Source organism: Homo sapiens, chromosome 8, assembly GCF_000001405.40.
Source record: "Homo sapiens chromosome 8, GRCh38.p14 Primary Assembly".
Taxonomy (NCBI): domain Eukaryota; kingdom Metazoa; phylum Chordata; class Mammalia; order Primates; family Hominidae; genus Homo; species Homo sapiens.
Window position 1 is genome coordinate 119,660,601 of NC_000008.11, and position 16,526 is coordinate 119,677,126.

The following is a 16,526-nucleotide window of genomic DNA, read 5'->3' on the forward strand; positions in this document are numbered from 1 at the left end:
TTAGTTTGAATTCTAAGAACCGTGAGACCTTTCTCAAGTTTCAGTTTTCCACTTGTTTCATTCTAAAAATGAGAATAACAGTACAGCTTCAATGAGAGTTTTGAGCAGTTGTAGGCAAAGTTTCTGTAAAGGACCAGAAAAGCATTTTAGGTCTTGTGTGCCATCCAGCAATCTCTGTCACAATGACTCAACTTGCTGTTGTAGTGCGAAAGTGGTCATGAACTGTATGGAAACAAATTGGGTAGCTATGTTCCATTAAAATTTTATTTACACAAACAGAAGGCAGCCGCACAACAAAGGAAACCTTCAACAGAGTGAGAAGACAACCCAAGGAAATATTCACAGAAAATATTTGTAAGCCATACATCTGATAAGGGCCTAAGATCCAAAATATACAATAGCAAGAAAACAACCTGATTTAAAGATGAAGCTGGAAACCATCATCCTCAGCAAACTAACACAGGAACAGAAAACCAAACACCGCATGTTCTCACTCCTAAATGAGGGTTGAACAATGAGAATACATGGACACAGGGAGGGGAACATCACACACTGGGGCCTGTTGGGGGCTGAGGGGTAAGGGGAGGGAGAGCATTAGGACAAATACCTCATGCTTGTGGGGCTTAAAACCTAGATAACGGGTTGATAGTTGCAGCAAACCACCAGGTCACATGTATACCTATGTAACAAACCTGCACGTTCAGCACAGATATCCCAGAACTTAAAGTAAAATAAAAAATAATGGTTGAAGAACCTGAATAGACATTTCTCAAAAGAAGATATACAAAAGGTCAACAGGTACAGGAAAGCTGCTCAACATCACTAATCATCAGGGAAATGCAAAGCAAAACCACAATGAAATATCACCTCGGACCTGTTAGAATATCTGCTATCAAAAACAACAACAAAGAAAGACAACAAGTGTTGGCAAGGGTGTGGAGAAAAGGAAACCCTTGTGCACTCTTCATGGAATTGTAAATTAGTGCAATCATTAAGGAAAACGGTGTAGGGACTTCACAAACAATCAAAAATAGAACTGCCATATGATCTAGCAATCCCACTACCAGGTGTATGTCCAAAGGAAATGAAATCAGCACGTTGAAGAGATATCTGCACTCCTATGTTTATTGCAGCATTATTCACAATAGCCAAAATATGGAATCAAGTTAAGTGTCCATCAACAGATGAATTGATAAAGAAAATGTGGTATATATACACAATGGAATACTAGGCAGCCTTAAACAAGAATGACAGCCTGTCATTTGCGACAATCTGGATGAACCTGGAGGTCATGATACTTAATGAAATAAGCCAGGCACAGAAAGACAAATACCACATGATTGCATTTATATGTGGAATCTAAAAAAATCAAACTTATACAAGCAGAGAATAGGATGGTGGTTACAGAGCCTAGGGGTGGGAGAAATGGGAAGTTGATGGTCAAAGGGTACAAAGTTTTAGTTAGAAAAGATATCTTATTCCTCCAGGAGGACTAGGTTCTCAAACTCTATTATACAGCATGGTGACTAGGGCATAATAATGTATTATATACTTGAAAATTGCTAAGGGAACAGATTATAAATATTCTCATCACCAATGATAAGGATGTGAGGTGATAAACTAATGTTAGTTTGTTTTATATGTATACATTCAACAGTGTATACATGTATCAAAACATCATGTTGTATCTCGTAAATACATACAATGTTTTATTTGTCAATTAAATAAATAAACAATAAAGTAAATTGCATAGATATATAAATAAATAATTTTATTTAGAATCTAGACCAATGGGTCTCAAAGTGTGAACCCAAACCAGTCAAAATAGCACTACCTGGGAACTAGTTCGAAACGCAAATCCTCTGCCCACACCAGACCTACTGGATCAGAAACTTTAGGGGTGGGGCTCAGCAGCAGGTGTTCAAACAAGCCCTCCGGGTGATTCTGATGCAGCTGAAATTTGAGATTTACAGATCTACATATTTCTATTTCTAATAGGGCCCTTTCCTAAGACTGTTTCTGTGAACCAGCTTTTTCTTTTCACTGTCTTTTGCTTTGCAAGTGTGAAACAAAACTTTGACACGTGCTGGAGAAAACAACAAAAACAGGCAGGACAATATCTGGCCTGCAGGCCATAGTTAACCAATCCCTGATTTTGAGCGTTGCAAGAGATAATGCATGGGCTTTGCATGACCCCTAGAATCTAAGTCATTGAAAACGGGTAGTATAGGCCAGGCGCAGTGCCTCATGCCTTAATCCCAGGACTTTGGGAGGCCAAGGCGGGAGGATCACTTGAGGTCAGGAGTTCGAGATCAGCCTGGCCAACATGGTGAAACCCCGTCTCTACCAAAAATATATTTTTTTAAATTGGCCAGGTGTGATGGCACACACCTGTAATCCCAGCTGCTCAGGAGGCTGAGGCAGGAGAATCACTTGAACCTGGGAGGTGGAGGTTCCAGCGAGCCAAAATCACGCCGCTGCACTCCAGCCTGGGCAACACAGTGAGAGACTCTTGTCTCAAAAAAAAAAAAAAAAAGAAAGAAAGAAAAAAGAAAAGAAAAGAAAATGGGTAGTATAATTGTCGTGGTTCCCACGAGATGAGCAGTGCTTTTTCAAGTTAGGTCAAAAAACAAAATCCCAACCAAACTCGAGGAAATTTAACACATTGTCAGTAACCTCTGAAGTCTTACTTAGGTAAATGCATAATTTTCATAGACTTTTAAAATATCGAAAAATTATTAAGACTCCACCCACAAAATTATCTTACAGATAGGGCTGCCAGGTACAATACTTTTTTAGTATTTTCAATATCAGGGATGCATTTATCCTAAAAAAGTATACATTGTTTATCTGAAACTGAAATTTAACTGGGGCATCCTGGGATTTTATTGTTTTTGTCTCTTTTGTTTTGTTGTTTTTTGCTAAATCTAACAGCCCTACCTATAGATCTCTTATAGTTTCACCATCTGGGAACCACTGGTTTTATTGCATAACAGGGATAACCTAACACAAGCAATATTTTGTTCTGTCAGGGAGGAAAAGAATTGCATTCTTATGGAATTATCCCCAAGGTTAAAAACTAATAACTCCCCTGTGTAGAAGCCACTGAAACACTCTGAGACAACCAAGTGCTCTGCACTCACGGGTGCCAAGAAAAAGCTTAGGTCACCCAAGGGAAAAGTACGATAATCTTGCATTTGTACCTGCTGATTAAAGTCAAGCAGCTTCCAGGAAAATGTAGGCGTCCCTCATGCCACTATGTTGAATTAATATCTGAAGAGTATTAATGATGGAAAAACTCGAATATATCCAAAATATCCAAAGTTTTGCAGTTGGATTTGTGGGTAGTCAAACTGTGTACTGAGAAAGCCTATTTTGTTAGTAAACAAAGCTCCTAAGTGGAGACGAAATTTTCTTTGCAAGTAAACACAGGAGCATAAATCAAGGATTCCTGGTAAATATTTGATAATGATGACGGAGGCAGAGTAGGTGCCCTCAGGCTTCACATATAGTCCAACAAGAGGGCTTATAAAATCATTCTTATGAAAGTTATAAAAATGGGGAAAAGTGGCTCAGCATGCTACAAACTATGTCTTTTCAAACTTCAGAGAAGGAAGATGATATTTGACATGTTCATGAAGACGAACACATTAAGTTTTAATTAAAAGAGCACAGTATTTCGCATCAGGAGATCCATGTTTGAGTTTCAGCGCTACCACTTCCAAGCTGTGCAGCCTTGAACAATTCACTTAGCCTCTCTGAACCTCTGTTGTCTCTCTCTAAAACAGAAAGGATGAGAATTCCCATCTCACACGCTTTGGTCAGGGTCAAGGAGATAATGGAAATGAAAATGATTTGCAAGCCGTGAAACTGCAAAGCACTGTCTGTCCCGATCATTTCCATGACGAAGAGCAAACTCTGTGGTGACTAGAAAGTGAAATAATGTTGTACTGAGTGTTACCAGCTGAAACCATGCTAAGGACATTATGCTTTCAAGAAATGTGGGTTAGTTAACTCCATATAACAAAGTAGTGGGTGGCTTACACAATGAAATGTATCAGCTAGGCACGGTGGCTCACACCTGTTACCCCAGCACTTTGGGAGAAAGAGGTAGGCAGATCACTTGAGGTCACAGTTCAAGACCAACCTGGCCAACATGGTAAAACCCCATCTCTACTAAAAATACAAAAAATAGCCGGGTGTGGTGGAACACGCCTGTAGTCCCAGCTACTTGGGAGGCTAAGGCAGGAGAATCGCTTAAACCTAGGAGGTGGAGGTTGCAGTGAGCCAAAACAAAAACAAAACAATAACAACAAAAAAAGACAATGAAATGTATCATCTCACATTCTGGAGATGAGAAGTCTGAGATCAAGGTGTCGGGCAGCAGGATTGGTTTCTTCTGAGGCTTCACTCCATGGCTTGGTAGATGGCCATCTATTCCCTGTGTATGTTCCCGTGTTTAAATCTCTCCTTTTTATACAGACATCAGTCATATTGGGTTAGGACCCATCCTCATGACCTGCTTTAATTTGAATACCTCTCTGAAGACTCTGTCTCTAAATAAGGTCACCTTCTAAGGAACTGGGGATTATGATTTCAACATTTGAATTGGGAGAGGATTCAATTCAACCCATAACAACATCTTTCGTTTATTCTATTAAAAAGTGGTCAAATGGGTTCACAGTGTATCCCAAAGCCTGCTTCTCCTCAGATAAAAATATTCCACTCTACAATGGACACCTTCCTGCTTGTTGGGTCTTTAAGACGATAAATTATTTACTTTGGAATAAGGTTTCAAGTCTGTGGCCTCATACCTTCTCCAAACACCAAAACACTAGGCAGTGCAATGCCCCTCTTTTCACAGAAATGCCTTTATTCTGTGGCAAACATGTCATTTTCCCTTATATTTAGCTTATGAATGAAATTATGTCTCACATTGATACAAAGGCACTGAAGTTTTTAGATTTCAAACTCAATTTTTTGTTCAAGAAGTTTACTTATCAGTTATCAATCCCTTCTGTACTAAGCCTACAGATTGTTGACACATTTCCAAATTGGACAAGGCACCTTCATTAATTTATAGGACTAATAAGTATATACACATATGTAAAAATCTCATATGTAATTGATATATGTAACATAAAATAAAAATGACATTTTAAAAGCAAAGTTAGCCTTTTTTTAACTCATGCTTTCTTAGTGACTCAATATCCTTCTTTCCATCAATAATTGCCTTGCCATCTTAGAAAAATATAAATGTCCCAGACCAAATGGATGCATAAATGTTTGTCTTGGGAGTTGGTCATTATAGCTCTTTTTGCAACATCAAAAATGTGGAAATAGCCTGATATCAAGCAGGAGTTTGCCAAACAAATCATGAGGCAGCTACATCTAGAATACAATACACCCATTGAAGATTATGTTTTTGAAAAATATATAATGGCATGGGGCAATATTCGTGGTATGCTGTTAAAGACAAGCAGGTTACACAAGGCTATGGACAATTCCAATTTTAAGACTACATACACATAAAAGAATATAGACGGGATATTCATTAATGAGTTAATATACTTATCTCTAAATAGTGAGATTGTAGATAATTTTTGTTTCTTCTTTGTACTTTCCTTTTTTGATTTTTTTTCCACAAAATGCATCCATCACTCATATAATGAAAATATGACCTTTTTTAAAAATCGAAAATTTGCCTCTGAAAGATTATTGCTTCAAACAAAGCACCATTCATTCCAATGGGTTACTGTATTTTTCAAAGATCTTAGTATCTTACTCCTAGGAGATGATAATTTAGGGAAAGGGCTCAAAAAAGTATAAAAATAATTATATATTCAGTAATATAATGCAACCTATCACATTATAAAAAGACAATTTAAAAAGAAAAAAGGCTGGGCGTGATGGCTCACACCTGTTATCCTAGCACTTTGGGAGGCCGAGGCGGGCAGATCACCCAAGGTCAGGAGTTCGAGACCAGCCTGACCAACATGGAGAAAACCCATCTCTACTAAAAATACAAAATTAGCCAGGCGTGGTGGCACATGCCTGTAATCCCAGCTACTTGGGAGGCTGAGGCAGGAGCATCACTTGAACCCAGGAGGCGGAGGTTGTGGTGAGCCGAGATCAGGCCATTACATTCCAGCCTGGGCAAAAAGAGCAAAACTGTCTAAAAAAAAAAAAAAGCTTAATGAAGGACTTAGCATTTGATTTAGATTAGGACTTAATGAAAAGGTATATTTTCCAGGAGGTACACAGACAATGGAGAGGAAGGGTATTCCTGACACAGGAAATGGCATAAGTAAACCAACTTGTAGTAAAATGCCTGGTCTACTCTGAGAGCAACAAATAGTTTAGTATGAGTAGTTCATGGGAGTTCTAAAAGAATGTCAGGGGTCGAGGTAGGAAAATCAAGTCGTAGGGCTGGATGGTCATAAAATTTATTGTTCAAACTAAGACCCCTTCAAGCATGAAAAAGGCTGCTGTTAATAGCTGCAGGAAACAGCTAGGACCATACCAGGAAACCAGGACATATGGCCACCCAACAAAGGACTGGATCCCAGGATGCCTTAAATACCAAGCTCAGATATGTGAACTTTATACACAGAATCTTGAAATCCTAGGGTTGAAAAGAAATGTCAATGCCTTCCAGCCTGGCTAACCATATTCCTGCCTCTCCAACTTTTCCAAGAATTGCTATCAAGCCTTTGCTTAAATTTCTCTGTGACAAAGAACTCATTGCCTTGGGATGCCTGTTAGAAAATTCTTTATTGTATTGAGCTGAAATGTATCTCCTTGTGTCTCTTATTCATTTGGCTCTTTCATTCATTCATCCTGCCCTCTCAAAGACAAACACAATGATTATCTCCCTCCACATTAGAGGGAAAGACAGACATTGTGACCTTCTAAATCTTCTCTTTTGCAGGTTAAATATCCGTACCCATCTTTCCTAGAGCATTCCTGCAGTCTGTCACCATACTCTTATAACTCCTAATTCACTTTTGAATTAATCCACTCTTGTCATCTTCCCTGCTACCCTTTGGTTTAGGGCCACCATCTTTTCTTGCTTATATGACACAGTGCCTCCTAAGTGGTCTCTGTCTTACCAGCCATCCTTCCAACTCATTGTTCATACTGCAGCCAGATTGATCTTTCCAAGACCCCAAACCGATTATGACACTGCCCTGCTTACAAGCTTCATTGGCTCCCCATTTTCGTAAAGATCAATTACAGCTTCAAGTAGGACAGTGTCATGCCATTCTGGCCTCAGCCACCACTCCAGTCTCATTTCTCTCATCCCCTCTCTTGCATTCCTTCTTTAGTCCCTTGCACAGCTCACTGAAGGTACTGACACCTCTGCTTGAAGCTCTCTTCCCTCCATCACCTTCACCTTCCTCATCTTTACTCAGCCTTTGGGTCTCAATTTAGACATCACTTCCTAAAGAATGTTTACCCTGGTCCCATTAAGTCTAGATTAAATATCCCTTCTCAGGTGGTTTCACGAGGACCTAAGCTTCCCCTATCAAAGCAAGTATAATATTGAATTAAAATCACCTGGTTCCTCACCTAACACCTCTGCTCCTTTGTAAATACCGTGAGATCAGGTCTTCTTCAGCACTGTTGTCTCCAACATCTAGCAGAGTGGTTGCCACATATTAGGTGCTCAAATAATAATAGCCAATACAGTTGCTAATAAATTAATGTGTAGCACCCAGAACTAGATACAATTGTTCTAAATATGGTCTGAACAATACAGAGTACGATGACTATCATGTCTCATGTTCTATACTTTTTTTTTCTTTTTCTTTTTCTTTTTCTTTTTCTTTTTTTTTTTTTTTTTTGAGACAGAGTCTCACTCTGTTGCCCAGGCTGGAGTGCAGTGGTGCAATCTCAGCTCACTGCAACCTCCACCTCCCGGTTCAAGCAATTCTCCTTCCTCAGCCTCCCGAGTACCTGGGACTACAGGCACTTGCCACCATGCCCAGCTAATTTTTCTATTTTTAGGAGAGACAGGGTTTCACCATGTTGGCCAGGATGGTCTCCATCTCTTGACCTTGTGATCCACCCGCCTCGGCCTCCCAAAGTGCTGGGATTACAGGCATGAGCCACTGCACCCAGCCTCTAGACTTCTTTTACTACAACAAAATTCTATTTTAAAAGAAACATATCACTATTGATTTTATCATCCGTTTAAATCTCTAAACCTTAACTATATAAAGCTGCCACTTCTCTCTAACTTTCTGTCTCTTCCTCTCTCTGTCTCTTCCTTTCTCAATCCGCTTTCCCTCTCCCTCTACTTCCCATCTGCCTCTGTCATACACATACACACATACCTAGTAATTTGCAATTTAATTTTGGGATCCATGCATAAGACTTTTTATATCCATCTCTGCACACATACACCCCAAAAATTAAAAGTCAAAACAGATTATAACTTATTGATAACTTTTGGACTCCTAATCCTTATGCCTTTTCTCTTAGCAAATGGGAGCCTTATATTATGCCTTTATAGATATCAATGATGCTGAATAAACAGGAATGAAGACAGAGGCCAGTAGCATGCCACTAAAGACATTCACATGTCAATCCATCTGTTAATCAGCTCTCCTTTAATAAATGCATTCAACCAGTCATTAATCCAGCCCATATGCACTTTTCTAATCTAGAAGAAGATCACAGAAATCTGTGCCTTCCTGAAATCAATGTTGTGAACTGATTAAAGTTTATTGAGTATAACCATGTTTCAGGTGCATTCACATACTTTATTTTAGTTAAATCCTCCAGCACCTATTACTGTTTTTTAATAGATAATAAAATCATCTCTTAGAAAATTACACAAGTAGCAATTGCCAGAGCAGGGATGTGAGCCCAGGTCCTGTGACTCCAAGTTCATGGTCATCAGCACACATGATATTGGGATCATCTCAAAAAAGAAAGCATGCCTAATTTGACTTATGCTGGCTCCACTATTCGCCACCTACTTCACTCTCCCAAATGTCTGTGGAATTAATTAATTCCTTTGATTAGAGATTCCTAACTGGAGGTTCATTACAACTCAAAGGAGTCTCAGAGTTGACTTGTCATGAACCCACTGAAAGTTCATACAAAGTGCAATATGTGGTGTATCCTGCATTTTTTTCTGAGAAGAGTAGTGTGTATCTATACCTGAGAAGGACCTTGGTCTCAAAGAGCTTGAGAACAACTTCAAGTTTAAATAACTCCCTATCAAAGTTAATCATCATTCACCTTTCTGTCTGAAGGTTTAGATTGCACACATCTCTTTTTAGGAAATCAAAACTGCATTTTCTTATCTCTAGCATCCCAAATTCTCCATCACTTTCTACAGAGTTTTTAGAGGGCTTGCTTGCCCACTGGCCCATTCTGAGGTTCTGGATGCCTTCTCTGGATCAAGCTTATCCAAGGACTCTTACAAGCCCACCTATCTAGGCCTTTAGTGTCCTTGTCCCATGCCAGGTTCCAGGCTAAAGAGGATTCCTTTGCCTTCACAAAGTCAACAGAGCCAAAACTGCAAAAGGCCTTTCTTGCAGCTCTTTCTTGGGGAAGGTTAGGATAGGTGCAGTAGCAATAGGAGAAGCCCACCTGTTGAGATGTGAATTAGAGAGGGAGCTGATAGACCCACAGACTCGAGGCATTATTCTCAAATATCCAGAAAGTCTAAAGCCTTCCATTGCTAAATAAGTAGAAAACTATGTTTTCCCTGATAATCATGCTTAACCTTTATTCCTTAGCATATTATAGATGATAATTTCCTGAAAGCTTCTGTATCTCTGTCATCTAATTCAATGCTTAAACATAAATGGTCATTCACAAAAATTGCACAAAAATTCATTGAGCATCCCACCTGGGTCTAAGCACTAACTGTAATCATACTAAGACAAAAAGAGTTGATCCCTAAGGACTGGTGTGGGATGGACAAGTAAATAGATATTTGTAATAAAGAATGGTAAGTGCTCTGACCCACAGAAATAAAGGAAGCTCTGGGGGAACAAGAGAGGGCCACCTAACCCATTAGGAAGGATGATCTGCATCGTTTCCAAGAGAAAGGGGCTTTCAGCTGGGTCTAAATAAAAACAGAGGTTAGACACAGACCTCACAGATGTACAGAAAGAAAGTCTTATTTAATAAATAGTTTAACACGCCTAAATTCATATATGATATGGACAAAATGTATATAAAATGTACAAAAATGGTACATAAAATGTGGAGAGGGAGTGAGTAGTAAGATATAACAATGAAGAGGAAGGTAAAAGGCAAGTTGTGGACAATGTGTATCCACCAAAATTATTCTTGAAAGAAAATAAAAATGGGAATCTGCTGAAGACTTTTCCAAAATGAACTGCATGATCATATTATATTTTAGAAAGATCATTTGACACAGTCTGGGCACAGTGGCTCACGCCTGTAATCCTAGCATTTTGGGAGGCCGAGGCAGGCAGATCACTTGAGGTCAAGAGTTCAAAACCAGCCTGGCTAACATGGTGAAACCCCTCCTCTACTAAAAATACAAAAAAAAAAAAAAAAAAATTAGCCTGGCATGGTGGCAGGCACCCGTAATCCCAGCTACTTGGGAGGCTGAGGCAGGAGAATTGCTTGAACCCGGGAGGTGGAAGTTGCAGTGAGCTGAGATTGCGCCACTGCACTCCAGTCTGGGCAACAGAGCAAGACTACATCTCAAAAAAAAGAAAGAAAGATCATTTGACACAGTGCAGAAACAAAGTGGAGGTATGGGCTGGGCAGGACTGGCCCCAGATGAGACTAATGGGAAGTTGTGGCCAGAATGGAATTTGAGGGAATACTGGCCATAAGTATAACAGTGGTGGGGGAGGTGGAGACACAGGTATGTGTATGAATTATACTCAGCAATGAGATCAGACAGGGTTTGGTGATGATTGTCATGAATGAAAGGGAAGAAGTCACCTAGGGTGATTCTGTTGTGTCTGACTTGGACAACTTGAGAAATGCCATTTAAGCAGTGGCAAAGAAAAGAGGAAGAGCAGGCCTGGGAGAAGAAGGGAGAAGACAGATCCAGGTCCTAACTCGGTGATTTTAAGGTGCTCTATGGAACATCAAAGTAGAGACTGGAATTTTAGGAGAAAGATTAGGCTACGTTTGGGAGACACCATGTATATGTAGTGGTTAAAGCCGCTGGAGTGAATGAGATTATCCAGAGAGACTGCAGGATGACAAGGGAAGAGAGTCAAGAAGAAAGAGCAGTGCACACAAACACTTATGAAGTGAAGCCCTTTAAGTATTAAATTGTAACTCAAAGGTCAGAAGGAAGCCCGGGAAGCATGGGATTGCAGGATCCAGGACAGAGTCAAAAAGAGAAAGGAAAGGACCAATAGTTCAAAATGACACAGAGGCTGTGTGTGTGCGTGGGAGGGGGGGAGTTGAAAATGCTCTATGGTTTTGCTACAAGGAGGTCTTCGGCGGCCTTGCCAAAGGTTGGCCCTCAGAGGTGAGGGCGGACGCCAGGTGACTGGGTGTGAAGGAGCAAACCGGTAGTGAGGAGATGTCGGGAGACAGCAAATGCCACCCACTCTTTCAAGGAATTTGGTGGGAAGAGGAGCAGAAAACTGAGGTGGCAGCCAGAGGTGACCACTGCGGGGGAAACCGGAAGCTCCATTAAATACCTGATGAGCAGAAGTGCAGAAAACCTGTGCTCCGTGGAACTGGGTATGTGATAAATACATAAGCAATACCAGAATCGGGTTCCCTCTCCATCCTGCTGGGCACTAGAGCGGCTTTTGTTTCCATTCCCTCTATCAGTGAGAAGCGGCTCTTGCTTCACTTGTTAAAATGAAACCAGAGTGTGGAAGCCCAGCAATCGCTGGAACCCTTTGACCCCCTCTCCGCACCTGAAGACCGGCTGTGCCCACTGCCCCTGCGGACGCTCCCCAGTGTTCGCCCTTGGAGATTTCCAAGTCCAGATCTAAAGCACCCATAATCAGTTAAGACCCAGGGCTCCCTCTAGTCTTATCCAAAATTAGCCCTATCCGTTTGAAAGGCTTGTTCAAATAGAAAAGGACAAAGGACCAAGAAACTGGCTGTGCCGAATTGTGCACGTCAATCAACATCTTTGTGGAGCCTGCGATCGGCGCGTTGTGGGGAAGGGGCTCCCTCCTTCAGGGAGATGATTCTGTCTCCTGGAGGCAAGTGTGGGAGTTCAGAGGACTTTACTAAACATATTGTTTTAAAAATCCCCGTCCTTCTTGCCAAGCCCCTGTCCCACAGGTAATAAACAAGAAGCCGGGCCCGTCTCGCCGCCCAGGAGGGCAGAGCTTGCAGTGCCCTGCGGCTGGTAAGGCTGAGGGTCGCCCGCTTGCAGTCGAGCCGTGGTGAACCGAGAGTCCTGCAAGTTGGACGGGCTCGCTTTCCAGAAACCAGAGACAAACTCGATATTTACAAACTCATTCTCTGGCAATGAAAACTTGAAATGAGTTGAGCTCCGCATTTGCGCGCCTGCAAATTGCTCCAGCTGAGTGCACGGGAACACAGCCCAACAGGGACTGCTTTCCGGCAAACCTGGAGGCCCTTTGCAAGGTTTTTCTGCTTGACAGAATGGCAGCTGTGACCTGGGAGCCCAAGCAATGGAGGACGGGTAGAGAGAGGCGCATACCGTACCCGATCGGCGTGGCGGGTCATGCTGCGGGAGTCTCGGCGTCTGTTCCTGCCCGGGCGCTGCGGACGCGGCCTGGGCTGCAGCCCCGCGACCTGGGAGCTGTGCTCGGGACGGCTGCTGCGGACTGCTCTTGTTTGCACTGGCCGTTTGCTTTTGGGATTTCTCCAGTGCAGATGTAGTCAGGGGGCCGCTGTCCCGGGGGACAATGATTCCATTGGAAGCTGGCCTTTGACAAGACACACACATGACCTTTGACTAAAATGGCTTTGGGGAAGGAAAGTGTCGGGAGGCTGAAGACGGGGCGTCCAGCGCCGCCATCCACATTCCCACCCCCGACAGTGCCTAGTTAATTTTTCATCTTTCAAGGAGAACCTCTGTGAGGTTTGGTTTGCTGTTTCTCTTTCATTCTGTAGGATTCAGTCTGTTTCCAAAAGGAGTTCGCAGCACAAGTTTCCTGCTGTGTTGTTAATGCATTCCCTGAACTAGCATTTCCAGGTCAAACAGGGGCAGGCCTATGCTGTTTAAGTTCCTCTGACGCTCTGGAAAATATCACCACCATTTTTTTTTCTAAAACACGCTACAGTTTACAAAGGGCTTTTCACGATCATGCTGTCATTTGGCCTCCCAAACAATGCCGAGGAGGCTCTCCTACTACTGCCATTTTACACATAAAGAATTAGAAGCTCAGAAAAATATTTGCCCCATCACCCAACCAGAAAGTGAAATCCAGGTCTTCTTAATTGGCATCCAGTCCACATCCACGAAACCACCCACCACCCTGCTGAGTGACCCACACTACTAACGAGAACACAATTAATATAAAGCAATAGTAGCTACAGTTATTTTAATTTTTGAATTACAAAAGTGAGTGTCAGAAATTGTTTTATTAGATAATAGATGTTTTGTTCCTTGATATTCACAGATATCTTGAATTTACTGGCTACATTAAAAAAAAAATAGTCTACTGCTAAAAGGATGCTGTGGTAACCAGACTAGCCACTTAGAGGTACAAGCCAGGTGTTCCCCGGGCTGCTAGCAAAGTCTATCACTAACTACTATCAGCACCTCTTTCTATCTTATTTCTGGGTCCTTCCAGACAGTGAAATACTAAACAAAAGGGAAGGGGCTGTGAGCTTGTGAAATGAACAATGGACAAGCAGTCAGCATCACAGAATTTTAATGTGACGGAGGCGGAGTTGAGGGATGGCAGAGAGTTATGGTGGAGGTCTGCAGAGAAGCCCTAGACCTAGACCTGCCCAGTGTGAAAAGCAATAGTACTTTCACTGTTTTCAGCTCAGAAAAGTGGAAAGGGGGTGACACTCACTCTCAATTTTGAAGGACTTGGAGGAGCCAGCCAGGAGAAGAAGAGGGGGAAGGACATCACCGACCCAGACAGCACCAGGTACAAACTGCTGTGGTGTGTTCAGTGAACTTGAAAATAGTCGGGGCAAGCAGGAGCAGACGGTGTGGGAGGGTGAATCTAGAGAAGGGGGTGCGGGATGGACTCTGACCAGCCTCCTGTGTCACTCTAGGGGATGTGGACTTCATCTTGCAGCGCTGAATGTGTTAATATAACTGGCTCTGGGGCATCAACTCACAAGAGGAGGATACAGGAGTCATGCATTGTTCTCCAACAACAACAAAAAGATATAGATCAACATCACCTAGCTCGGTAGTTAGGGGCATTTGCTTCATCAGACAGAGGCAATTTCTTCTTCCTAGCTGCGAAAATGTGAGCAATACATTTAACCTCACCAAGCCTCAGTTTTCTCATCAGTAAAACTGGAGTTGTAATATATACTATGAGGATTAAATGAAATTCTGTAGATAAAACCCTTAGCCTTTCTGCAGGCATGGAGTTATACTCAGTAAAAGATAGCTATTATATTTTAAAGTACTTTAATATGTGCAGTGCTTACCATGGAATAACAAGGCACTCTCTTTCTCCCAGTCCTCTCACTCCCTCATTCTCATCATACATCTGGCTTTGGACTCATTAGAAGTTTATCCCTTGTTCCTTCCTCTTCTTATATTCAGGGTTTTCTTTTGTTTGTTTGTTTTCAGACGGAGTCTTGCTCTACCGCCCAGGCTGAAGTGCAGTGGCACAATCTCTGCTCACTGCAACCTCCATCTCCTGAATTCAAGCGATTCTCCTGTCTCAGCCTCCCATGTAGCTGAGTTTACAGGAGCCCACTACTACAACTGGGTAATTTTTCTATTTTTAGTAGAGGTGGAGTTTCACTATATTTGCCAGGCTGGTCTCGAACTCCTGACCTGAAGTGATCCACCTGCCCTGGCCTCCCAAAGAGCTGGGATTACAGGTGTGAGCCACTGCGTCTGACCTCAGCTCCTTCTTGACAATACTTCCTCTATGTCTCCGACTAGTCTTTAATATCAATTTAGATCTGTCTCTCCTTCCACTTCAATTTGTTCATTTCTTTGTCCTACCATTGCCATACCCATCTGCAAATTCTCCACCGAAGATGTAGCTATCTGCTAGAGGTAAACATCATTCCAAAATCATGGCCATTGGCACCACCATTGATGTCTGGCCTACCCCTGGCTGGGCACTCAGCACCACCTCAGTTCTTACAAATGTCCCCAGCCAGCTCACTTCTCTAATTATGCAAAGTAACACTTCCCACCTCTTTAGAACCCTGATCCCACTCCCACCTGGCTTGCTTTCAGCAAACAAACTCTTTTCCCCCAATAAAGAACACAGTAGCTATCAGAAGGAAATTCTATTTCCTGTCCCTGCACCAGAAAAATATATCTATTCTCCACTTCTCCCTTCCTACCTCAGAGGTACCTCTTTTTCTGTGCACTGTAGATTCCCTCTCTTCCCACTTCCTATGGAAAACTCATCAACCATCGCCTTTCCTTTCAACTTCTTCTCTACTGATAACATCAGTTCATTTATTCCATAGGCATTTATAAAGCAACTATAATCAAGCGTCTTTGATTCTTCACATACACGGATAAATAAAACATTACAGCCTATAAACACATTAAAGTCCCTCCCACACACCATGTTTCCTCATGGAGTCTGAATATGTGCCAGTTCCTTGCAACAGTAACAACAACAACAGCACGTGCACCCAGCATGTGCCCACTGCCAGGAACATTCTTCCATAGATCTTCCAAGGCCAGTTTCTACTCATACTTTAGGTGCTGGCTTAATGTCACCTGCTCAAAGAGTTCTTCCTAGGATATGAACAGACACTTCTCAAAAAAAAGACATTTATGCAGCCAGCAAACATATGAAAAAAACTCATCATCACTGGTTATTAGAGAAACAAAAATCAAAACCACAGTGAGATACCATCTCATGCCAGTTAGAATGGTGATCATTAAAAAGTCAGGAAACAACAGATGCTGGCGAGGATGTGGAGAAATAAGAACGCTTTTACACTGTTGGTGGGAGTGTAAATTAGTTCAACTACTGTGGAAGACAGTGTGGTGATTCCTCAAGGATCCAGAGCTAGAAATACCATTTGACCCAGCCATCCCATTACTGGGTATATACCCAAAGGATTATAAATCATTCTACTATAAAGACACATGCACACGCATGTTTATTGCAGCACTATTCACAATAGCAAAGACTTGGAACCAATCCAAATGTCCATCAATGATAAACTGGATAAAGAAAATATAGCACATATATACCATGGAATACTATGCAGTCATAAAAATAATAAGTTCATGTCCTTTGCAGGGACATGGATGAAGCTGGAAACCATCATTCTCAGCAAACTAACACAGGAACAGAAAACCAAACACTGCATGTTCTCACTCATAAGTGACAGGTGAACAATGAGAACACACGGACACAGGGAGGGGAACATCACTCACCGAGGCCTGTTGGGGGTTGGGG

General features: G+C 41.9%; 1 protein-coding gene and 1 long non-coding RNA gene across 6 annotated transcripts in view, besides 2 other annotated features; one reads left to right on the top strand and one right to left on the bottom strand.

The window, feature by feature from the left end:
* ENPP2 (ectonucleotide pyrophosphatase/phosphodiesterase 2) overlaps positions 1-12,790 on the bottom strand; it is a 116,305-nt gene extending 103,515 nt beyond the window's left edge. For all 5 annotated transcript variants that reach the window (XM_024447182.2, XM_017013573.2, XM_017013574.2 and 2 more), the window contains exon 1: positions 12,652-12,790. In XM_024447182.2, the coding sequence (XP_024302950.1) occupies positions 12,652-12,672 (21 nt within the window). In that variant the 5' untranslated portion in view covers positions 12,673-12,790. The remainder of the gene's footprint in view (positions 1-12,651) is intronic.
* On the top strand, positions 11,348-14,743 carry LOC105375727 (uncharacterized). The gene is made up of 3 exons (XR_928589.3): positions 11,348-11,703; positions 13,988-14,051; positions 14,714-14,743. It is a non-coding gene; the product is annotated as an uncharacterized LOC105375727 (long non-coding RNA).
* Positions 12,005-12,608: an enhancer, noted in NCBI's record as "H3K27ac-H3K4me1 hESC enhancer chr8:120684845-120685448 (GRCh37/hg19 assembly coordinates)". NCBI's record gives its function as "activates a minimal SCP1, AML or CMV promoter by ChIP-STARR-seq in primed H9 embryonic stem cells {active_cell/tissue: H9 hESC(primed)}" and the evidence as "EXISTENCE:reporter gene assay evidence [ECO:0000049][PMID:30033119]".
* Positions 12,609-13,211: an enhancer, noted in NCBI's record as "H3K27ac-H3K4me1 hESC enhancer chr8:120685449-120686051 (GRCh37/hg19 assembly coordinates)". NCBI's record gives its function as "activates a minimal SCP1, AML or CMV promoter by ChIP-STARR-seq in primed H9 embryonic stem cells {active_cell/tissue: H9 hESC(primed)}" and the evidence as "EXISTENCE:reporter gene assay evidence [ECO:0000049][PMID:30033119]".